The 22,884-nt window shown below is 54.5% G+C and overlaps 1 protein-coding gene across 3 annotated transcripts in view, besides 3 other annotated features; it reads left to right on the forward strand.

Annotated features, from left to right (window-relative positions):
* Nucleotides 1–22,884, forward strand: part of DNAAF5 (dynein axonemal assembly factor 5) — a 59,777-nt gene that overhangs the window by 24,737 nt on the left and 12,156 nt on the right. For all 3 annotated transcript variants that reach the window (NR_075098.2, NM_017802.4, XM_024446813.2), the window contains exons 5-10: nt 3,154–3,386; nt 5,347–5,559; nt 10,318–10,461; nt 12,371–12,539; nt 19,036–19,183; nt 22,613–22,763. Coding sequence is in view for 2 of the 3 variants with exons in the window: in NM_017802.4 (NP_060272.3) it covers nt 3,154–3,386; nt 5,347–5,559; nt 10,318–10,461; nt 12,371–12,539; nt 19,036–19,183; nt 22,613–22,763 (1,058 nt within the window). In the remaining variant the exon portion in view is untranslated. The remainder of the gene's footprint in view (nt 1–3,153; nt 3,387–5,346; nt 5,560–10,317; nt 10,462–12,370; nt 12,540–19,035; nt 19,184–22,612; nt 22,764–22,884) is intronic.
* Nucleotides 390–1,589: an enhancer, noted in NCBI's record as "BRD4-independent group 4 enhancer chr7:791462-792661 (GRCh37/hg19 assembly coordinates)". NCBI's record gives its function as "activates an origin of replication core promoter dependent on BRD2, P300/CBP, MED14 and CDK7 cofactors, and independent of BRD4, by STARR-seq in HCT116 cells {active_cell/tissue: HCT116}" and the evidence as "EXISTENCE:reporter gene assay evidence [ECO:0000049][PMID:35650434]".
* Nucleotides 16,070–17,269: an enhancer, noted in NCBI's record as "P300/CBP strongly-dependent group 1 enhancer chr7:807142-808341 (GRCh37/hg19 assembly coordinates)". NCBI's record gives its function as "activates an origin of replication core promoter dependent on BRD2, BRD4, P300/CBP, MED14 and CDK7 cofactors, with strong dependence on P300/CBP, by STARR-seq in HCT116 cells {active_cell/tissue: HCT116}" and the evidence as "EXISTENCE:reporter gene assay evidence [ECO:0000049][PMID:35650434]".
* Nucleotides 16,719–17,246: an enhancer, noted in NCBI's record as "H3K27ac-H3K4me1 hESC enhancer chr7:807791-808318 (GRCh37/hg19 assembly coordinates)". NCBI's record gives its function as "activates a minimal SCP1, AML or CMV promoter by ChIP-STARR-seq in naive H9 embryonic stem cells {active_cell/tissue: H9 hESC(naive)}" and the evidence as "EXISTENCE:reporter gene assay evidence [ECO:0000049][PMID:30033119]".

Here is a 22,884-nt window from a genome sequence, read left to right on the forward strand (position 1 = left end):
GCTGCAGTGAGCTGTGATCGTACCACTGCACTCCAGCCTGGGTGACAGAGTGAGACCCTTTCTCTAAAAATAGAAAAAGACCCTTTAAATCCTGACATATCATGGTTTCATTTCTATCTTTACAGTTGTTCTGAATTTTTTTTTTTTTTTTTTTTTGAGATGGAGTCTCACTCTGTCGCCCAGGCTGGAGTGCAGTGGTGTAATCTTGGCTCACTGCAACCCCCACCTCCTGGGTTCAAGTGATTCTGCTGCCTCAGCCTCTGAGTAGCTGGGATTACAGGCGCTCGCCAGCACGACCGGCTTATTTTTTCTATTTTTAGTAGAGACGGGGTTTCACCATGTTAGTCAGGGTGGTCTTGAACTCCTGACCTCAGGTGACCCGCCTGCCTTGGCCTCGCAAAGTGCTGGGATTACAGGCATGAGCCACCGTGCCCGGCCTGAATTTTGAAGATCAGAATCTTTTCATCAAAGTCCCTGAAGGCTTTTCTGTAGAAATCGACAAACTGATTGTGAAATTCTCGTGGGCGTGCAAAGGACCCACAGCTGCCGAAACACTGGGGAGGAGTGAAGCTGAATGGCAGCAGGTCCTGGGTGCAAGACTCACAAAACCACAGTCATGGGGCCACGTGGTGTTGGCTTTCAGACCGATGAGCAGAACGAGAGCGTCCAGAAACAGGCGCCCGCACGCGGACCACTGACTTGATGAAGGCTCAAAGACCATTTAATGGCATCTTTTAATAAGGATACTGTAAATGATAGGATCACTCATACACCAGAAAGTGAACTTGGAGTCAAAAAATTAACCCCAGATGCGTCAGGGATCTGAAGGTAAAGCCCAGAACCGCAGAGCTAGGGCGAAGCCTTTGTGACAGTGGGCCGGGCCACACTTCGTGGGATACGTCCTCAAAAGACCGCAGAGTGATGACGAAGCCTTTGTCACCGCGGGCCGGGCCACGCTTCCCTGGGTGCATCCTCAAAAGACTGCAGAGTGACGACGAAGCCTTCGTGACCACGGGCCGGGCCACACTTCGCGGGATACGTCCTCAAAAGACCACAGAGTGATGACGAAGCCTTTGTCACCGCGGGCCGGGCCACGCTTCCCTGGGTGCATCCTCAAAAGACTGCAGAGTGACGACGAAGCCTTCGTGACCGCGGGCCAGGCCACGCTTCCCTGGGTGCATCCTCAAAAGACCGCAGAGCTAGGACGAAGGCTTCGTGACCGTGGGCCGGGCCACGCTTCCCTGGGTGCGTCCTCAAAAGACCGCTCTGTAACAGGGTAAAGCAATGTGTGGACTTCATCAAAATGAACACTTCTGCTTTTTCAAAGGCCTGTTGAAAAAACGAAAAGACAAACCAAAGACTGAGATGTTTGGAGATGATGTATGTAAGGATTTATCTCCAGAGTATAGGAAGAGCTCTTGAAACTCAGCAGGAAAACAATCCATTTTTTTAAATGGGCAGAAAACAATTTGGAAAGACCCTTTACCAGGGAAGATAGGCGGCAAACAAGCCTGTGAAGAAGACGCTCGGCGTCGTTAGTCATCGGGGAATGCAAAGGAAAAGCACACGGAAATGCCACTGTGCCTCTCGGACTGCTTTCAATTCAAGACTGAGCGTACCGCGTGCCGCTGAGAGTGGGAAGGAGCGCGGACTGGCTCAAACACTTTGGAAAATGGTTGGACAGTTTCTAAAACAGTTAAACGTGCACCTTCCCTGTGGCCCAGCCCTTCCACAGCTGGTATTTGTCCCGGCACAGTGAAAGCCCAGGCCACACAGACTTGCCCTGGACACCATTTGAATGCTTCTCCACAGAGGAGCGGGCACTAAACTGGCATCTCCCCAGAACAGGCCACTTCCCAGGTTCAGAAAGGAGCGGGCACAGGCGGGCCTCAGAAAACGATGCAGAGTGAAAGAAGCGGAGAAGGGAGGAGAGTGAACGAGAGGCTTCCACTTGTGTCAGGCTCTAGAAAGTGCAGCTCAGTCACGGGACAGATCCAGGGGTGCCGGGGTGCCTTGGGGGCTGCAGTGCAGAGGAGCAGAGGAAGCCGGGCGAAGGACGCAGCTGTCACCCCCACCATGCCGATGGCTTCGCAGCCGTGTCTCTCATATGGCGATGGCTTCGAAGGCATGTCTCTCTGATCATATGGGGACGGCTTCACAGACGTGTCTCTCATCATATGGGGACGGCTTCACAGGCGTATCTCTGTCATCATATGGCGATGGCTTCGCAGGCTTGTCTCTCTGATCATATGGGGACGGCTTCGCAGGCGTGTCTCTCTCATATGGGGACGGCTTCGCAGGCGTGTCTCTCTGATCATATGGCGACGGCTTCGCAGGCGTGTCTCTCTCATCATATGGCGATGGCTTCGCAGGCGTGTCTCTCTCATCATATGGGGATGGCTTCGCAGGCGTGTCTCTCTGATCATATGGCGACGGCTTCGCAGGCGTCTCTCTCTCATCATATGGCGATGGCTTCGCAGGCGTGTGTCTCTCTGATCATATGGGGACGGCTTCGCAGGCGTGTCTCTCTCATCATATGGCGATGGCTTCGCAGGCGTGTGTCTCTCTGATCATAGGGGGACGGCTTCGCAGGCGTGTCTCTCATCATATGGCGATGGCTTCGCAGGCGTGTGTCTCTCTGATCATAGGGGGACGGCTTCGCAGGCGTGTCTCTCTGATCATACACGTCAGCACGTGTGGCAAGTGTGTTGTTTGCATCTCTGTGTGGCTCTAAATGTTTGTTTTTTGAGACAGGGTCTCGCTCTGTCACCCAGGCTGGAGTGCTGTGGCGCAATCCTCCCACCTCAGACTCCTGCGTAGCTGGGACCACAGGCATGCACCACGGCACCTGGCTAATCTTCCTGTTTTTTATAGAGATGGGGTCTTTGCCATGTTGCCCAGGCTGGTCTTGACTTCCTGGGCTCTAGTGATCCACCTGCCTTGGCCTCCACAGGGCTAGGACTGCAGCCGTGCACCGCCTCTGTGAATGTTCTGAACGACGGGGCATTTGTCAGCTTTGCGTCCACCCCAAGACTTGTTTTGAAATGGTGAGGTTGAAACTCACAGGTGTCCCTTAAATGTGATGTGCGGTAACTTGAGTTGTTGAGGTTTTGCTTGTGAATTTCTCATTCTTCTTTCCCTTTTTCGTTCCAGAGCGCCGCCCTGTGCTGGGCTGCCGGGAGCTCGTCTTCAGGAACCTCTCCAAGATCCTCCCTGCCCTGTGCCACGACATCACCGACTGGGTGGTGGGGACCCGAGTGAAGTCGGCACAGCTGCTCCCAGTGCTGCTGCTGCATGCCGAGGACCACGCCACGCAGCACCTGGAGGTCGTCCTCCGGACCCTGTTCCAGGCCTGCACCGACGAGGAGGCAGCCGTGGTCCAAAGTGTAAGTGGCCGTATTCCAGTCGTGGTCGCGGAGCTGTAACTCGAGCTTAAGATCCCGCCTCTGTGGTGTGCGGGGCCCGAGGCTGTACTGTAGCCAAGACAGCGTTCCCCTCACCCCCGGGCCGCAGGCCCTCCCCACACCCAGCCCCTGGGAACAACTGATCTCCTTTCTGTGCCCGTAGGTAACAGCGTGTTGAGGGTGAACCCTTCATGCTCATTTTCAAGCACACTCGGGGGTGCAGTGCCAGGTGCATGTTGTGTAGACGTGTTGTGTAGACGTGCCGTGCACCAGACAGACAGGGCCCGGGCTGCTGACACAGGACCGAGATGCCCAGCGTTCAGCATTGACATCTGGACTGTCCTGAGGGCCCTTCCAGGCCTCGCAGGGGCTGTGGGAGCACCCAGACGGGGGATGATGGCACAGCTTCGGGTGTCCTGCGAGTGGTGTCCCTGGTGCAGTCCTCTTTCTCACTCCCTGTCCACACTCGGCTGCTGGTTATCGCCTCGTCACCACTGGGTACGCACGAGGGAGTCCCATGCTCAGGCCTCTCCTCCTCACTAGGCCGGGCCACGCCCTGCGCTGACAGTCACCACCATGAGGACTTCACACCCACCTCACAAGGATGCTTCCTAGTGCTCAGGAGAACAACTAAAGCTTTGACTTGAGATTTCAGTTGAAAATATCCTCATCTTGAACCTTAAATTCCATTGCAAGGTAGCCTGGCCAGCAGCTTTTACTTCTAGTGGTCCAGGTCACTGTTACTAGCCCAGCGTAGTGGCGTGCACCTGTGGTTCCAGCTCCCGGGAGGCTGAGGTGGGAGGATCGCTTGAGCCCGGGAGTTTGAGGCCTCAGTGAGCTATGATTGCGCCACTACTCTCCAGCCTGGGCGACGGAATGAGACGCTGTCTCAGATAAAACAAAAAAATCTAAATCATTGTGACTGATTTAAAGTAAATGTTCCAGGTTCCATGTTATTTACATGTCATGTTTCTGCTTTTCAAAAACTACCGTGAATTTAAAATTGTCTGTAGTTCTCTGTGGAACCTACAGGAGAGCAAGAGACACGGGGGTGAGGCTGAGAGGACGAGAGACGTGTGTGGGATCCGCTGTGGAATCCCACGGTGCAGAGGGGCTGGTGTGTGTGTGATCCACTGTGGAATCCCACAGTGCAGAGGGGCTGGTGTGTGTGATCCGGTGTGAAATCCCACGGTGCAGAGGGGCTGGTGTATGTGTGATCCGCTGTGGAATCCCACGGTGCAGAGGGGCTGGTGTGTGTGTGATCCACTGTGGAATCCCATGGTGCAGAGGGGCTGGTGTGTGTGTGATCCGCTGTGGAATCCCACGGTGCAGAGGGGCTGGTGTGTGTGTGATCCGCTGTGGAATCCCATGGTGCAGAGGGGCTGGTGTGTGGTGTCCACTGTGGAATCCCATGGTGCAGAGGGGCTGGTGTGTGTGTGATCCGCTGTGGAATCCCACAGTGCAGAGGGGCTGGTGTGTGTGTGATCCGCTGTGGAATCCCACGGTGCAGAGGGGCTGGTGTGTGGTGTCCACTGTGGAATCCCACGGTGCAGAGGGGCTGGTGAGTGTGTGATCCACTGTGGGCTTCCACGGTACAGAGGGGCTGGTGTGTATTGATCAGCTTAGTGATGGGAAGGTTGGGTCACTGGTGTCCGATGAGGGGTGTGTGGTGAACCCCACAGCTGGGACACAGCATCCTTTGGGCCAGACTTCACTGCCTGGGAGGCGTGTCCGGCTCGCTGGCCTCAGGGACGTTCTGAGACCACACCCGGACCCTTGTACCTTTCCTGAGGGCTCTGAGCATGTGCCAAGGACTCACTCTGCCTAACACGGGGCTCTGTCTGGTGCACGGCTGTGTCTGGGAGGCCACGGCGCCGAGAGCAGGAGCCCGGCTGAGACCCTCGGGTTTGGCTCTGAGTTTTCTCATGTTTCTTTCTCGCAGTGTACCAGATCCGCAGAGCTCGTCGGGACGTTTGTCAGCCCTGAGGTGTTTCTGAAGCTGATCTTATCGACGCTGAAGAAGACGCCCTCTGCCTCCGGCCTCCTGGTGCTGGCCTCCGCCATGCGGGGTTGCCCCCGAGAAGCCCTCCAGCCGCACCTGGCAGCCATCGCCACAGAGCTGGCACAGGCCCACATCTGCCAGGCATCTGAAAACGTAAGAGCACTTGGGAGATGCGGGAGTGGAGAGGAGGAGCCTCCCCTGCCCGGCCGTCAGCCATCGTAATGACATGTCTGTGGGTTGCCCTGTGCCGCCAGGCTGGGCTGTCGGAAGCACCCAGCGACGTGTCTGTGGGTCCGCCCCGTGCCGCCAGGCCGGGCCATCGGAAACACCTGCAGTAACCGGAGTGCCCTCGCTGATAGCCCTTGTTCCGGGGCCTCGTCCTGGGCTGTGCAGAGCTCCAGCCCCAGCCCCAGCCCCAGCTGCAGGCGGCCGCTCACGTTTACATTCGTTGCTGCCCCTTTCTTGGCCACACACCACAGTTCACGTGTTTGATGACTCAGGAGGCGTCCATGGCCGGGACCCTCTGGCCCATGCTGCTGGGGGTAGATGTGGGGTCCACGTCATCCCACCCCTGAGGAGCGTGGTCGCACGTCCACCATCCCATCCAGTCCCCAGGGTACCTGCACAGATCGCACGTCCTCAGGGGGCACTGACAGCCTGTTCCCCATCAGCCCTGCCTGGCGTTCCGATCTGTGCTTCTCACAGCCCAGCTGAGGATTTGCCAGAGACATTTGTTTAATTTTAAATTGAGCAGCAAATCCTTGAGCTCAGAAGCTGGAACAGCCTGGGTAGTTGGGCTCAATTGTTTGGAATAATCCATAGTTGTATTCCATGGAAGAAGAGGTGATGGCTTTGCTTTCATTTGAAGGTGAGTGGTCCCTGTCAGTGTGTGTGTTGGACTCAGCACCCCAGATATTTCTGGGACACAGGGCTGCCCCCACCAGGCGGCCGTGCCATGCAGGGCGGGCCTCAGCTCACCCCTGGAGGCACTTGCTCCGGCTCGATCGTTTCCGGCGGCTTCTATGGCCCCAAAGCTGGCCTGGGGCACGGGGACTTGCCACTGTGCTCTCAGCCCGGCCTGTCCTGTGTCAGGCTCCCTCTCCGTCCTCAGAACGAGAGGTGGGGCTGTTGACAGTCATTTTTGTAAACTGTTTTAAGAAACCTGTAAGCAGTTCCTGGAATACATAGAGGGAAGGAAACGGAGCTGGGGTAAGGAAGGGAGCGGGGGAGGGGCCCGGGCCGCGTGCTCATGGCATTTCAGCCATGCTTCAGCTTTTCCCAAAACCCGTTTTTAACACATCATCGAATGTGTGTCAGTTCTCCACTTTCCTTCACCCACGAGGGGTTATGAGGATGCCTTTGATTTCTGTATACAGATTTGCAAGCCAGAAGCATTTTTTCCTAGAAGGGCATAACTTGAAAATGTGCACAGGTGCCTAAATCCTTATCTCACAAACTTTATAGCAAAGAAAGTGTAGTTTTCACATCTCCATGTTGGTTACAGGAAAACGGAATTGTGTCATCCCACAGTTGTGCATTTGGCTCCCCATCTTCCAGTTTTATCGAGGAAAAATTTAATCACAATCTTTCAAACAGAGACGTCTTTCTGACAAAGTCCAGTCACACGGGACCCCTGGGAAGCCAGCCTCAACCTTCCAGGCTGCGAACGTGTGTCGGCCCTTTGGCCAAGGAGCCAGTCACAGTGAAAACCCAAGACGTACATTTCACTCCTTTCTTGTTTTTATTTTTTTGTTTTAGGTTGATCCTCCCACCTCAGCCTCCTGAGTCACTGGGACTACAGGTGTGCACCACCACACCTGGGTAATTTTTTTTTATTTATTTTTATTTATTTACTTTTTGGGACAGAGTCTTGCTCTGTCACCCAGGCTAGAATGCAGTGGCGCAATCTTGGCTCACTGCAGCCTCCGCCTCCCAGGTTCAAGCGATTCTCCTGCCTCAGCCTCCCAAGTAGCTGGGATTACAGGCATGCACCACCACACCCGGCTAATTTTTGTGTTTTTAGTAGAGACGGGGTTTCTCCATGTTGGCCAGGCTGGTCTTGAACTCCTGACTTCAAGTGATCAGCCCACCTCGGCCTCCCAAAGTGCTGGGATTACAGGTGTGAGCCACCGCACCTGGCCCCATTTTACTCCTTAACAGACTTAAATTTTTGGCAAGAAAGGGTGAAGGTACTCAGGTCTCAGTCAGAATCAGGCCCGTGGTTCTGTGCTCTTCCCACGCCCCTGTGCTCTTCCCGCGGCCGGCCGGGCTTTGTGTCATGTCATTTGGGAAGTCGATTATGTTTCCCACAGCTATTCTCCAGTAGCTATGAGAACAGGTTGAAAATGTCTTTCAAGAACAAACCGAAATTGTTTTAAAAGCTCGTGTTTAAACAGAGAAGTCCGTGTAAATGTATTCTAAACTGAGCCTGGCTTCACTCCCTGCCCTGGGGTTCACAGGAAATCTGGCTTTAGCAGTAGGTACTTCCAGGTGTCTCGGGCCCAGTAGGTCCCCTAGAGCTCGACAGACGGGAACTGGAGTCTCCTGGGAAGGAGTTTAGGACAGGTGTCTAGAGTGAGGAAATGGGTAACTCACCGATTTGCTTCTCACACAGGGAAGCCAGCAGTTGTGGGATGCCATTGCCATTGTTGAAATAGGAGTCTCTTGTGCTTTTCTGAATTAAAAACCTTTGCAGTCTTAGATAACATTGTTTCAGAAAACAATGTTTGAAATAGTATTTCAAAAAATACTGAGAATTATTTCCTGCTGTATCTTTTTTCTTTTTCGTTCTGTGTGTGTGCGTTGTATGTAGGCAGACACTGAAAATTGTCTGGTCAAATATAGAGAAATCTATAAATGTGAAGTCTTGTCACTTCCTCAGAGACGGTGCTGCGTTCGTGGCAGGAGGGTGGTGCTTGCTGCAAAGGATGCCTGATTCCCTGTTTGTTCCTGTGCTTGGAGGTGTGGTCAGCCAGGAGGGGCTGTGTCTTCTAAACGCACCTGCCTTTTGATTTTAACCGAAAAGATGATCGCTCCTGAAATGTACATGACAGGTCATTCTAGAAACTAGCCAGATATTGTCCTCAGAAGTCAGCCAGTTAGTACAGGCCTTAGAGAAATTGGGCTGTGGGAAAAATCAGGAATGGAATAAAAACAAATCTGTGGCTTCTGTGGGAGTTGGGGCCACGACAGGGCCACACGGCTCCTCCAGCTCCGAGGGAGACGGGGCCGCGCGGCTCCTCCAGCTCTGAGGGAGACGGGGCCGCGCGGCTCCTCCAGCTCCGAGGGAGATGGAGCCATGCAGCTCTGTGTCTTCTGTGGGTCAGGGCGGGGCCGGGGTGCAAGGACAGAACGCTGCTGTAGTACAGTGGGAGTGTTTTGTTTAGTCTTCCATGATTTACGTCAGTGGGGAATGAGGCTTAGAGTTTTAGAGCTGATTAGGAAATTTAGAACCAACCCATTGTCTAGCCAAATAATTACCAAACTTCTTTGAACTTGCACCCCCATTAGTAAAAACAGTTTTTAAGCATAGGCCTCCAATATATGTACACTGTTGATAAATCACGTGTTTAAATTACATGGCCACGGTCCTGACTCACTCTGTACTTTATGAAACATACATAAAATAGACATTAGAGGGACGTTATAAGAAGTAAATACAGGCCAGGCGTGGTGGTTCTTATCTATGATCCCAGCACTTTGAGAGGCCACGGCAGGAGGATCACTTAAGGCTAGGAGTTTGAGACTGCAGTTAGCCACGATTGCACCACTGCACTCCAGCCTGGGCGACAGAGCAAGACCCTGTCTCTAAAAAATAAGTTAAAATTTATTTAGAAAGAAGTAAGCACACGCAAAGCCTTAGGAATTCTTGGGTCCAGCACACGCCTGCTGTGTTGCGGGCTTCAGAGCCTGGCTGATTCACAGTGGATGAGGCTGGAGCCGGGAGGGGAAGCCATTCATCCAGCGCAGCCGTAGGTGCAGAGCTGAGACTCCACCTCCCCGTCAATCAGTAAACATGTTAAGCCATAGAATTTTATTTGTCTTAAAACTTGGTGTTATAGAAAAGCTCAAAAATGCACAGAAGAGGGGCAGGCAGCAGAGCGACTGCCAGCTTCAGCGCTGACCAGCCCTTGGCATGCGTGTTCTGCCTGCCTGGGGCCACTTTTCTTTTTAACTTTGGAGGGCGGGGAGAACTTGGGCATGTTGTAAAGCAGATAATGCAGTGCGCCGTCATTTCCCTCACAGGTGCCGTGTGCATCACTAACGCAGCTTCTCCACCACATAGCTCAAGTGCCTGTTCACATTTCACAAAATAAGCACAGATTCCTTAGCTCCCAGTCTGTGTTCAGTTTTCCCATCAACAAGCACGCCCTTTTATGGTTGACATGCCGGCACCCTACCTCCAGCGCCTGGGGGCTCTCCCTGCAAGGGCTCTCCCATGGCTGCTGCCCCTCGTGAGCCGTAGACTAGGAGCCCCGGGCGGGCTCTGTCGGCCCTGACACTGGGGCCGGAGCGGGAGCCCTGTATTAGTCCATTCTCATGTCGCTAATAAAGATCTACCACAGACTGGGTAATTTATAAAGAAAAAGAGGCTTAATGGACTCAAAGTTCCACATGGCTGTGCAGGCCTCACCATCATGGTGGAAGGCAAAGGAGGAGCAAAGTCACGTCTTACGTGGCGGCAGGCGAGAGAGTGTGCAGGGGAACTGCCCTTTATACTAACATCAGATCTCGTGAGACTTAATATCAAGAGAACAGCACGGGAAAGACCCACCCCCATGATTCAGTTCCCTCCCACAGGGTCCCTCCCAGGATACGTGGGGATTATGGGAGCTACAGTTCAAGATGGGATTCGGGTGGGGACACGACCAAATTGTACCAAGCTCTGACGGTGCTGCCGGTCTCTTCCAGGACCTCTACCTGGAGCGCCTGCTGCTGTGTGTGCAGGCTCTGGTGTCTGTGTGTCATGAGGACTGTGGCGTGGCCAGCCTGCAGCTCTTGGACGTGCTGCTGACAATAGTGGCCCTCGCAGGTGCTACCGGCCTGAGGGACAAGGTAAGGCTGACAGTGGTGGCTGCTGCTTGACCTAGCGGAGCTCACAGCTGGAAGGCATCTCTAAGTGAGGTGAACTGTCTCCTATGCATCCCCTCTGTGCTTGACCAGCAAAGACCAGGGATTGAGAACCTTGCGGGTGAGTCCCCGGGCAACGGCCTTCGGGGCAGCTCTCCAGCTGCCAGTGTATTCTGGCATCAGGGAGTGGAGACAGCTGTTTAATGTTAGGGTCTTCAGCAAAGAAGCAAACAAGAAATAAGACGTAACCTTTAAACCTGCGCACTTGAGTAGGGTTTAATAGTGCACATGTCGCTGGGCGTGGCATCTCACGCCTGTAATCCCAGCACTTTGGGAGGCCGAGGTGGGCGGATCACCTGAGGTCAGGAGTTTGAGACCAGCCTGACCAACATGGTGAAACCCCGTCTCTACTAAAAATACAAAAAATTAGCCAGGCGTGTTGGCATGTGCCTGTAGTCCCAGCTACTCAGGAGGCTGAGGCAGGAAAATTGCTTGAACCAGGGAAGCAGAGGTTGCAGTGAGCCAAGATCGTGCCACTGCACTCCAGCCTGGGCTGAGCAACAGAGCGAGACTCCGTCCAAAAAAAAAAAAAAGTGCATGTGCATGTGTGACTGAGTCGAGAGAAGATACCGTGATTTCCCGCTCTCATTGCAGCACAGCGTTCAGAAGTACTTCTCGCCCATGGGCTCCCTGTTTATGCCCAAAAATCATCTTTTTTCTTCAGTGGAGTCTCGCTCTGTCACCCAGGCTGGAGTGCAGTGGCGCGATCTCGGCTCACTGCAACTTCTGCCTCCCAGGTTCAAGTGATTCTCCTGCCTCAGCCTCCTGAGTAGCCGGGATTACAGGCGCCCACCACCATACCCGGCTAATTTTTATATTTTTAGTAGAGACAAGGTTTTGCCACGTTGGCCAGGTTGGTCTCAAGCTCCTGACTGCAGGTGATCCACCTGCCTCAGCCTCCCAAAGGGCTGGGATCATAGGCATGAGCCACCGCACCTGGCCATTATGCCCAAAAATCTTTTAACCCCAACCTTCTAATGGGCTTCTAGGGCCCCTGGAGGCCCCAGTATCTGTCTGCCTCTCTGGAAGCTGAGACTTAGTTCCTCCTCCCATTCTGTCTCTGTGGACAGCCCCTCTCGGCAGATTCTCTCTCTGGGAGATTTACGGCCTGAATGTACTATGGGGAACCTGGTGTGGAGGAGGCTGCTGCCCTCCCCTTCCTTCTTGGGGCCTCTAAAAACAAGCTTCCCAAGGGGCGTGTGTCTCAGCAGATGCTGTCACTGTTAGGGCCTGAGGTACCAGCAAAAGCAAAGTCTTTGCCTGCTGGTCATGGGGGACGAAGCCAGGTAGCCCCAGATTCAGACTCCAGGCTTGGGGCAATGGCCACCGGGGAGCCTCAGCCCTTCCTCTGTTCCTAAGCCCCCAAGGAGAGCAGCCAGCTAAAAGTAAAAGGTGGCCAAGGTTATCATCTCTGTCTGCCCAGTTACTTTTACCTGGAGGTCTGGTCTGCTGGGCTTAACTCTTTAAGCCACTTGCCCGCCCCTCTCTGCTCCTCACCACCTCAGAGGAGCCCTGCCTGCCCAGGCGGACACCACGTCCGTGTAAGCCCCAGGACCACCTGTGCTGTGTGCATCCCAGTGTGCACAGTGCCTGCTTCATGATTCGCTGCAGAGACGGCGTTGGTGTGAACGGGATCAGGGTCTCGCCCTGCACCCGCGGCTCTCGCTCTCCTGCACCCTGGGCGGGGCTCCCTGTGGCAGCCTCCCTCCCGATTATCCTGGCAGGCCCGGCCTGTGTGGTTCTTACGCGTGAGGGGGATAGTGAGTCCCAGCAGGCAGGCAGGCTTGAGCCCTGAGTGTTGGAATTGTCTCAGTCTCTGACTTGTAACCTCCAGGCACAGGAGACGATGGACTCACTGGCCATGGTGGAGGGTGTCAGCAGCTGCCAGGACCTCTACCGCAAGCACATTGGTCCCCTCCTGGAGCGGGTGACCGCGTCGCACCTTGACTGGACCGCACACTCGCCGGAGCTCCTGCAGTTCAGTGTCATCGTCGCACAGTCAGGTGAGCCGTCCCGACAGCTGGCGTGCCGTGCCTGGCCCCACTCAGGCTACACACCTGCTCCCCCAGGTGCTCAGCAGGTACCAGCGCCGACCAGCTGAGCTGTGGTTCACTGAAGCGTGTTGTTAAAAGTACCCAATAGTCACTCTTGCCTGGGGAGAAGCAGCATTTTAAGGAGCATCGCATTGAAGACTGTGGGACGCAGCTCTTCCACTTGGCCCGGGCACACGCTTTCATGTGAAACCTTCAAAGTGTGCTTTTCCGTGGCCTGTTTTGTAGCCTGGCTTCTTAAATACGTCTGGATTTTGTTGCAGAATCTAGATGTCTAGCCGCATGGGTGCTGTGTGTGTGACATGGGGGCCTTAGCCCCAGCCCCTCTGAGACCAGCATTTCTGTGGTTCTCTTTGAGCCTGCGGATCAGCCACTTTTCCTGGGATGGACAGTGTGGCCCAGTGGGGCTTCAGCGCGGGGCAAGATCCACTGCAGAACCCTAAGGAGACGTCCGCTCAGCAGCCATAGTGCCTTGGGACACACGGCCCGCGCTGCTCCACGGGCCGTGAACTCGCCGCGGTAGCTCTTCCTCGTTTGCCTCCCCGGCCCTCCCGCTCCCGCCTGCAGCTCCGAGTGCCCCCGCCTCCTGTTGGATGTGTGCACCAGGGTGGTCGTGCTCTGCATCTGAGGATGCTAAGATCGTTCTTACACAATCTCTGTGCCTGGTAGGGACTCACCTTTTTTTTCCTGAGACTTGGAAAAATACCCAAAATTGTTCTTTGTCAGTTGCATTCAAAACTGTTTCCAAATTAGAAAAGAAAATACTGGCTGGGCGTGGTGGCTCACGCCTGTAATCCCAGCACTTTGGGAGGCTGAAGTGGGAGGATCACTTGAGCTCAGGAGTTCGAGACCAGCCTGGCCAACACGGCAAGAGCTCATCTCTACAAAAAGATGAAAAAAACCGCACGTGCACCTCTGAATCTAAAATTTAAAAATAAATAAAATACAGTTAGCCAGGCGTGGTGGTGTGCGCCTGTGGCCCCAGCTACTCAGGAAGCTGAAGCGGGAGGATCCCTGGAGCCCAGGAGTTCGAAGCTTCAGTGAGCTGTGACTGCACTGCTGCACTCCAGCCTGGGCAACAGAGCAAGGCCCTGTCTCTAAAACCAAACAAAAAACAAAGCTGGCGATTGCTGACGTGCACTCGGGGCATTAAACACTTTATGCCAGACGCTGCTCTGCAAGCCTTAGGGCCGTCAGCTCATCTACCCTCACAGCCGGCCTGTGTGGTGGGAACTGTGACCCCGTTTCACAGACAAGGAGGCAGAGCACAGAGAACTCCCGAGGCAGCGACTCCAGAGCCTCCCTCAGCCCCTCTCCCACGGGCCTCTTGGATGGGGGCCCAGGGTGTTGCATTTCAGATTTTTACTGAATGTTACTCCTAACAACCTCTTGCACCAAATTACTCCAGCCTTCACCTCACAGTCCAGAAAATTGGGCACACAAACCCCGAGAGACGTGGCTTGCAGTGAAGCCAGGACTTGCATTTACTGCAGCTCTGGTGGCTTCTCCACCATCTGTTCTTCCTCTTTGCAGAAGCATTTCTTATGGTGTTGGCGGAACTGATTGGCAGCTTGGAACACACATCTCTTTGGGCCCACATCTCCTGTCATTCACTGAAAGGCAGGAAGACTGCAGTATGCCGTTCAGTGTCAAGAGCTGGGTATAAAACTGTATGGGTTTTTTTGTTTTTTGTTTTTTGAGACGGTCTCACGCTGTCACCCAGGCTGGAGTGCAGTGGTACGATCACAGCTCACTGTAGCCTCAAACTTCCGGGATCAAGTGATTTTTCTGCCTTAGCCTCCTGAGTAGATGGGATTGTAGGCATACGCCACCTGGCTACTTCTGTATGTTTTTCTAGAAATGGGGTCATATATGCTGCCAGGCTAGTCTTGAACTCCTGGGCTCAAGCGATCCTCCTGCCTCAGCCTCCTGAGTAGCTGGGACCACAGGCACCCACTACCACGCCTGGCTAATTTTTGTATTTTTTGTAGACATGGGGTCTCTTTATGTTGCCCAGGCTGACCTCAAACTCCTAGGCTCGAACAGTCTTCCCACCTCACCCTCCCAAAGTGCTGGGATTAACAGGCATAAGCCACCATGCCTGGTTTAAAACTGCATTTCCCAATGATGATTATGTTCTCTGAGCCCCATCTGAGCGCACACATGTGTGGTGCTCTTGGGAGTCGGGGGCACAGCCTCAAATATAATACAATATTTCCAACATCGTGTCCTTGGAATACAGATGATTTTTATTTTCTTCTTTATTTTTTTCTATGTTTTTCTAAGCTTTCTCTAATGAGCATGCACTACTGTAATAAACAGAAGACAAAAGGATTAAAACAATTTTTTAATAGGAGAAATTTTTAAATTTCTCATTTACAAAAGTTCTATGGGAAGATACCTTTTAAATTTTAATTATTTTAAACATACAGAAAGGGATAATTTCTAAACTTTGAGAGGATGGGGGATCTACAAAGACATTGATTTGACTATATACATTTGAACCAAAATAAAAGGAACATAGACTTAGGAAAATATTTGCAATAAGGATGACAGTGTGAGATCTTTGTTACATAAAGCTGACACAAAATGAGAACAAAAGCATTAAGAGTTGGGCACGGTGGCTCACGCCTATAATCTCAGCACTCTGAGTCCATAACCGAGCAGCCTGCTCTGATGATAGAGGCTGAGGCAAGGAGGCTCACGTGAGCTCAGAAATTGAGGCTTCAGGGAGCTGTGATTGTACCACTGCACTCCAGCCCGGACAACAGAGAGAGACCATGATTCCAAAAAACAAAAAGCATTAACTCCCAAACAAACAGGCAAAATATCCACATTTTATAAAAAAGAATTAATACAACTAATAAGCAAATAGAGTGGGAACTATCCAGCCCTTCTAGTGATGAGGAAATATGAATTAAAGACTGTAGGGTCCCGCTGGGCGTGGTGGCTCACGCCTGTAATCCCAGCACTTTGGGAGGCCGAGGCAGGCAGATCCCGATGTCAGGAGATCGAGACCATCCTGGCTAACATGATGAAACCCCGTCTCTACTAAAAATACAAAAAATTAGCTGGGTGCGGTGGCGGGCGCTTGTGGTCCCAGCTACTCGGGAGGCTGAGGCAGGACAATGGCGTGAACCCAGGAGACGGGGCTTGCAGTGAGCCGAGACTGTGCCACTGCCCTCCAGCCTAGGCGACAGAGCGAGACTCGGTCTCAAAAAAAAAAAAAAAAAAGACTGTAGGGTCCCATTTCTTCATTTATCCAATTAAGTGAAATAGCTGCTGCCTAGGGTGGCTGAGCTGGGAGTGCCAAGGTGCTTTTGGAAAGCCGTGGGACGCTGCGCATCTGGAATTGCCAATGTCTTCACTCCTTTCATCCAGCAATCACATTCATGAGAATCTATCCTTCCAATTCTAATTATGGAAAAAGCTATGCACCCAAAAATATGCATCGGGGCATAATTTAATAGAAATTGTAAGTGACCCAAATACCTCATACGAAGTTAAATACATAATGATATTTCCATAGAAGAAATGCTCTGGCAACCATTAAAAACAATTATCCTAAGCCTTTATAGCAAAATGGGAAGACAGGTGTGGTGTGATATGGAGGGAAAGTGAAGCCAGTGCAGAAGTGTCCGTGCTGCAAGCAGGAACTCGCACTGGGAGGGGAGACACGTGATCAGGGCGGAAGTGTCCGTGCTGCGAGGCGGAGCTGGCGCTGGGAGGGGAGACACGTGATCCGGGCGGAAGTGTCCGTGCTGCCAGCAGGAGCTCCCGCTGGGAGGGCAGACACGTGGTCCGGGTGGAAGTGTCCCTGCTGCGAGCAGGAGCTCACGCTGGGAGGGCAGACACATGGTCCGGTGGAAGTGTCCCTGCTGCAAGCAGGAGCGCTAGTGCTGGGAGGGCGGACACGTGGCTCCGGGCAGAAGTGTCCGCCAGCAGGAGCGCTCGTGCTTGGAAGGTAGACACGTGGCCCGGGCGGAAGTGTCCTTGCAGCGAGCAGGAGCTGGCGCTGGGAGGGCAGACACGTGGTCCGGGCGGAAGTGTCCGTGCAGCGAGCGGGAGCTCGCGCTGGGAGCGGAGACAGGTGATCTGGGCGGAAGTGTCCATGCTGCGAGCGCTCGCGGCTGGGAGCGCAGACACGTGGTCCAGGCGGAAGTGTCCATGCTGCAGCAGGAGCTCGCACTGGGAGGGGAGACACGTGATCAGGGCGGAAGTGTCCGTGCTGCGAGGAGGAGCTAGCGCTGGGAGGGGAGACACGTGGTCTGGGCGGAAGTGTCCGTGCTGCGAGCAGGAGCTCTCGCTGGGAGGGCAGACACGTGATCCTGGCGGAAGTGTCTGTGCTGTGAGCCGCAGCTCACACTGGGAGGGAAGACACGTGGTCCGGGCGGAAGTGTCTGTGCTGCGAGTGGGCGCTCCGGCTGGGAGGGCAGACACGTGGTCCGGGCGGAAGTGTCCGTGCAGCGAGCAGGAGCTCGCGCTGGGAGGGCAGACAAGTGGTCCAGTGGAAGTGTCCGTGCTGCAAGCAGGAGCGCTAGTGCTGGGAGGGCAGACACGTGGCCCAGGCGGAAGTGTCCACGCCTACCTCGAGCAGGAGCGCTCATGCTGGGAAGGCAGATGGGTGGCCCGGGCAGAAGTGTCCGTGCTGCAAGCAGGAGCGCTCATGCTGGGAAGGCAGACACGTGGCCCAGGCGTCAGGTTTGAACATTCTTGACAGCAAGTGGCTCACCCGTCAGCGTGCTTCTTTTTCCCATCCCAGGAGTTGGACTTGACCTGTGGACATTTGGCTGTTTTCTTTTTGTTTTTAAGCCAGAAACACTGTCTTGTTTCCAGTTTAAGATGTAGAGAGGGTGAAACAGTCAGAAACTGGGTCAGAAGCAGCGTGGTTCTCGTGGCAGGGCGGCACTTGGCCCAAGACTCGTGCTCTGGCGGGAGGCTCAAGTCAGGCGTCCCAGCAGCTTCGGTGCAACGCCTCCTGCCCGGCTGCGTGGGGAGGCCCTCCAAGACACCAGCTGGTCTCACCGCGAGGCCTGACTTCGAGCCAGAGCAGCGAGTACATTGCGTCTCCGTGTGGCAAGGGCAGGTGCGGGGGTCTCAGTCCACTACCGAGCAGCCTGCTCTGATGACTGGCGGCGCCAGGGAGAAGGCTCACATCGCGAGGTCCCCAGCAACGGCTCAAGGTGACTCACAGTTGCTTGGATAAGCCAGTGGACGCTCCCTCTACACTGGCCCGGGGCCAGAGCGCCTCCTTCTGCGGCCCCAACCCAGTCCCCACCCTGAGCCTTCAGCTCCTGGGCCTGCAGGCTGAGCCTGGCAGGAGACGCTGCAGGGACTCTCAGAGCTGTCCTTGCCCTGTCATTCATGGAGACTTACAGGGAGGCGGGGCGGCCCTACTGCAGTGGGGACCCCTTGGGGCGTAGGATGCACAGTGCAGGCGCCCAAGCCTCGCGCCCACCGGAGAGCAGCCACGGTGCAGGAGCTTGGCCCTGAGTGTGGGCGGGGTGAGGGCTGCAACGCTGAGAAGCAGATATTAAAGAAGTTCTTTCACTGAAACAATTGATTTTGGTCGTTGTTTCAACTATTGCTTGACTTTAATTTTTCAAAAAAATTTAGAAAAGTTTAAGAAAAATGGAAGGTTGTTTTGTTTTTGAGATGGAGTTTTGCTCTTGGTGCCCAGGCTGGAGTGCAATAGTGCGATCTCAGCTCACCGCAACTTCCGCCTCACGGGTTCAAGCAGTCAAGCAGCTGGGATTACAGGCGCCCACCACCACGCCCAGCTAATTTTGTATTTTTAGTAGAGATGGGATTTTTCTCCATGTTGGTCAGGCTGGTCTCGAACTCCCGACCTCAGGTGACCTCAGGTCACCCATCTTGGCTTTCCAAAGTGCTGGAATTATAGGCGTGAGCCACCACGTCCAGGTTTTGTTTTTGTTTTTGTTTTTTTGAGACATAGTCTCACTTTGTCACCCAGGCTGGAGTGCAGTGGCACGATCTCGGCTCACTGCAACCTCCACCTCCCAGGTTCAAGTGATTCTCCTGCCTCAGCCTCCCAAGTAGATGGGACTACAGGTATATGCCACCATGCTAGGGTAATTTTTGTATTTTTAGTGGAGATGGGGTTTCACCATGTTGACCAGGCTGGTCTCAAACTCTGGACCTCAGGTGATCCTCCCTCCTTGGCCTCCCAAAGTGCTGGGATTATAGGCATGAGCCACCATGCCTGACCAAATAGGTTTTCATATGGAAAAACGTGATTTTGGGGGGTTAAAATTTTCTGCTGCTTTTCTGTGATAATCACCTTACTGATTGAGAAAGAGGAAGCGGGGAGGTGGTGGCCGATAGTGCCCTCTCCCAGGTGGGAGCGCCTGAGCCTGGGCCTGTGCTGGATGGGGCCTCCTCCCGTCTCCTGAGGGCCGTGCACAGGAGCCTCTGTTGTGTCTTACAGGCCCTGCCCTGGGAGAAGCCCTGCCACACGTCGTGCCCACGCTGAGGGCCTGTCTGCAGCCCTCCCAAGACCCGCAGATGCGCCTGAAGCTGTTCTCCATCCTGTCCACCGTGCTGCTCAGAGCCACGGACACCATCAACTCCCAGGGGTAGGTCCGGGCTCTGCCTCTGCACGGCCCCCAGCTGGGGCCTGGGCCAGGGGTCCCCATCTCCCTCCCCAACAGCTCACTGAGCAAGGGGGTTCCCACCTCCTTCCCCAACACTGCACTGCGCAAGGGGTTCCCCATCTCCCTCCCCCACACTGAGTCAAAGGTGGGCCGGGGGTCCCCACCTCCCTCCCCCACGCCGAGTCTAAGGTGGGCCGGGGGTCCCCACCTCCCTCCCCCACAGCACTCTGGGTGAGGGTTCCCCACACCAAGTCTGAGGTGGGCGTGTGCAGTGACCCCTGAGCTTAACTGGCCTGGAAGCAGCTAGTCCATCCTCACTGGGTAAACACAAGCTCTCGGCAGGGAATGCACAGAGAAGCACTAAGTCAAAGTCATCTCCGTGTGGTCATTAAAATTCCAGTGAATGAAAAAGTTTTAGGGAACATTAACTGTTAATGGCTTATGTATTAGCTGTTCTCTGTTTTAAAAGCCTTTGGGCACTTTTCAAACCTAACAAACAACTGATTGAATTTCTATTGATGGTCAAAGTGGTAAAAATACCTCTTTGTTATCTAAGACAACTTTTAGGTGGCATTAAGACCCCGAGGGTCTAGGGCCTCCAGGTGTACGGCTTTGAAGTAAGGGCAAGAAGCATGGGTGCCCTCTAGGAGCACTGGGAGGGACAGTGGAGGAAGAGGCCCCGCCCGGGTGCCACTGCTGAGGCAGCTCTTAGGGCCCTGCCACTTACTTTGCTCAGAGCAAAAGGTGCCGTCAGCTGGGTCCTACCCCCGCCTGTGCGGCTGGATCTGGGCTGCGTCAGCACCGGGACCCGCCCCAGCAGCACATCTGTCAAAGCGGAAAGCAGTTCACACACCAGAGCCTCATGTGGAAAGAGTCCAGGCGCTCAGACTTTTCTCCTTCATGACCCTCATCTCTGCTCTCGGGCCTCAGCCCGCCTGTCGTACTGCAGGAAATTTTGTTTCCTGCTTGTCTTCAAAGACTTCAGGGCTTAGAACGGACCATAGAAAGATATGAACCGAGAGCCGTGGCAGCTGTCCAGCTTGCAGGCTGATATTTGTGTAGATGCCATGCAGATAACACAGCAGGGTCCAGGCCCTTCCCTCTGGAACTCACACTCGGCTGTATTTTGGGAGGAACCGCTGGGCAGGTTCTGCCCAGGAACAGTTAACTCTGCAGAGCACAGTTTCCACATCTGGGCTGAGTTCCCAAAGAAAGTGCGCCTAACAACGTCTTGTGGAAGGCGGTTGGCGTCAAGAGAAGTAAAGTGTTCAGATGGCAGTGATTTTAATGAACTTACTAGCTATTTTAATAGGAAAGATTTTTTTTTTTATCCGTTTGGTTTTTATTTTTAGAATCATGAAATAGCAAGTTGGCTCTGCTGAAGTAGAAATGGTGGGCGGGGAGTCGCCACTGACCATCGTCTGCGCAGAGCACCTTCCTGCTGACCGCAGCTGTGAGCGCCGGCTGTACGCAGGTCCCTGCTGTGCGGGTGCCCAAGAGGGCTGAGGGCTGCGTCTGCCATGGTGTCTCCACCTTGGACACCATGAATCATGAGAGGTTCTCAGGGCTGCCTCCCACAGGCTTTCTGTGTCTTACCTGGGACACTCGGGACTAGTTGTGTTTAGGTTTTCTTAAAATTCTGTAGTAATTGCATTGTAGAGCATCCCTAATCCGAACTTCAGAAATCCAAAATGCTCCAGTGAGTATTTCATTTGAGCATCATGTCAGTGCTCAGATATGGTCAGACCCTGGAGCACTTTGCATTCTGAAGTGAAGGATGCTCAGCCTGCGTCTGACAGAAGCTCCAGAGAAGTGGCTGCGAGTTCAGGGCAAGAGGCTCCTGGCTTTGAGGCTGCACCGTTTCTGGAAGTCAAGCCCCACAGTGGACCTCGAGTCCCTCTGTGAATAGGAATGTGCTCGGGCAGGGAACCCGGAGCACCAGCCGCTGGGCCCCTCGTTCCCCGGCTCTGCAGCGTCTTCGGGTCCTGTGGGTCTGGCTGTGCCCAGCCCTGCTGCCCGTGGACTATAGTGTCTTGGGGTCCTGCAGGCCTGGCTGTACCCGGCCCCAGTGCATGGTGGCAAGTGCCTGTGATCCCAGCTACTCAGGAGGCTGAGGCAGGAGAATCACTTGAACCTGGGAGGCAGAGGTTGCAGTGAGCGGAGATTGCGCCATTTCACTCCAGCCTGGGCAGCAAGAGCGAGACTTTGTCTCAAAAAAAAGGAACGTGCCTCATTCAGTGGTTCGATGGTGGTTCTGATCAATGCCCAGAAGTTCTGATGGAGCTTCTGTCAGACACAGGCTGAGTATCCTTCACCCCAAAATTAAAAAAAAAAAAAAAAAAATTTAAAAAAACCTAAGCACTCCTAGGTGGCGCCCGTGTGGCACGCCTGGCCCACACTTGGACCCCACACCCTGAAGGCCAGGACTTCCAGGCCATTTCATGTGGTGACCATGGAGCAGGCGCTGGGTTCGTTCATTCCAGAGAGCCCTCTTGCAAGTCACGGTGCCGAAAATGGCAGCTCTGCTTAAAAACGAACCCACGCCAGAAACCTCGCGGAATGCGTGTAAATCACACCACACCAACGTCACTTTCCACATCTGCTCATCTACCTGGCTGGTCCCAACATGGCCCCTGCCAGGAGCAAGCCGGTGGCGCCTCCAGAAGAGGAAGGGACGCTGTGCAGGCTTCACGGACGCTGGAGGGCTGCGGGCTGTGGAGCTGGTCTTGGAGACCAGAGCCACCTTTGAAACATACCGTGGTGTTGGGATGTCACTAATGAGTGTGTCATTTTGCTTTGAGTTTGTCTTGGTGGCACTTTGACCTGACTGGTCACCATCAGGACGAAGTCGCCGACAGGGTGGGAACTGCCCGTCTCTCTGAGCTGTGGCCCTTGGGTCCCCGGACCGCGCCTGTGGCCCTCCCATCCCGCCTCTGTGAAGCCGCAGCGACTGTCCTTGCTGGACAGAGGGTTCTGTGGCTGGAGAGACTTGGCCTTTTTCTGGGGGAGGGATGCAGATGGGAAAGGGGCTCACTGGGTGCTGCCGACACCACCGCACCTGCCCTAGCCCAGGCGTCACTCAGGCCTCCTTTTGAAGCTAGGAGCGGCGAGGGGCTGAAAGTGCACCCTCGGCCCAGGGCCTCTGGCTCGCCTCTGGAGAACAGGACCTACGCGGGCCGCAGGAGAGGCCAGGGGCACAGGCACCCCTGTCTCCCCGGTAGGGTTGGGCCTGGAGGAACCTCCCAATTCGCACTGAGAAGCAGCTCCTGAGAGGAGGAGGGGCCTCGTGTTTTGGGGTCGAGTTCGTTTTCCTGTTTGGCTCCCCCCTCAGCCCCATTCATCCCTAGTCTGAAACGTTTCTTCCGAGCACCTGTCCGGTCTCCTCATCCACCCTCTCCGTTCCGGTTCCAGGCAGTTTCCCAGCTACCTCGAGACGGTGACAAAGGACATCCTGGCCCCCAATCTGCAGTGGCATGCGGGGAGGACAGCCGCGGCCATCCGCACGGCTGCCGTGTCCTGCCTCTGGGCGCTCACCAGCAGCGAGGTCCTGTCGGCAGAGCAGGTACGGGGCTCCCTGCGTGCTCGGTGGACACCGGCCGGGGACTGCGCAGGCTTCCTGGCGCCCGGCAGAGCTCCCGCAGCAGGAACTTGGGCAGGCAGCAGCTGCACCTCCACCTGGGGCC

This window comes from Homo sapiens, chromosome 7 (genome assembly GCF_000001405.40).
Source record: "Homo sapiens chromosome 7, GRCh38.p14 Primary Assembly".
Taxonomy (NCBI): Eukaryota; Metazoa; Chordata; class Mammalia; order Primates; family Hominidae; genus Homo; species Homo sapiens.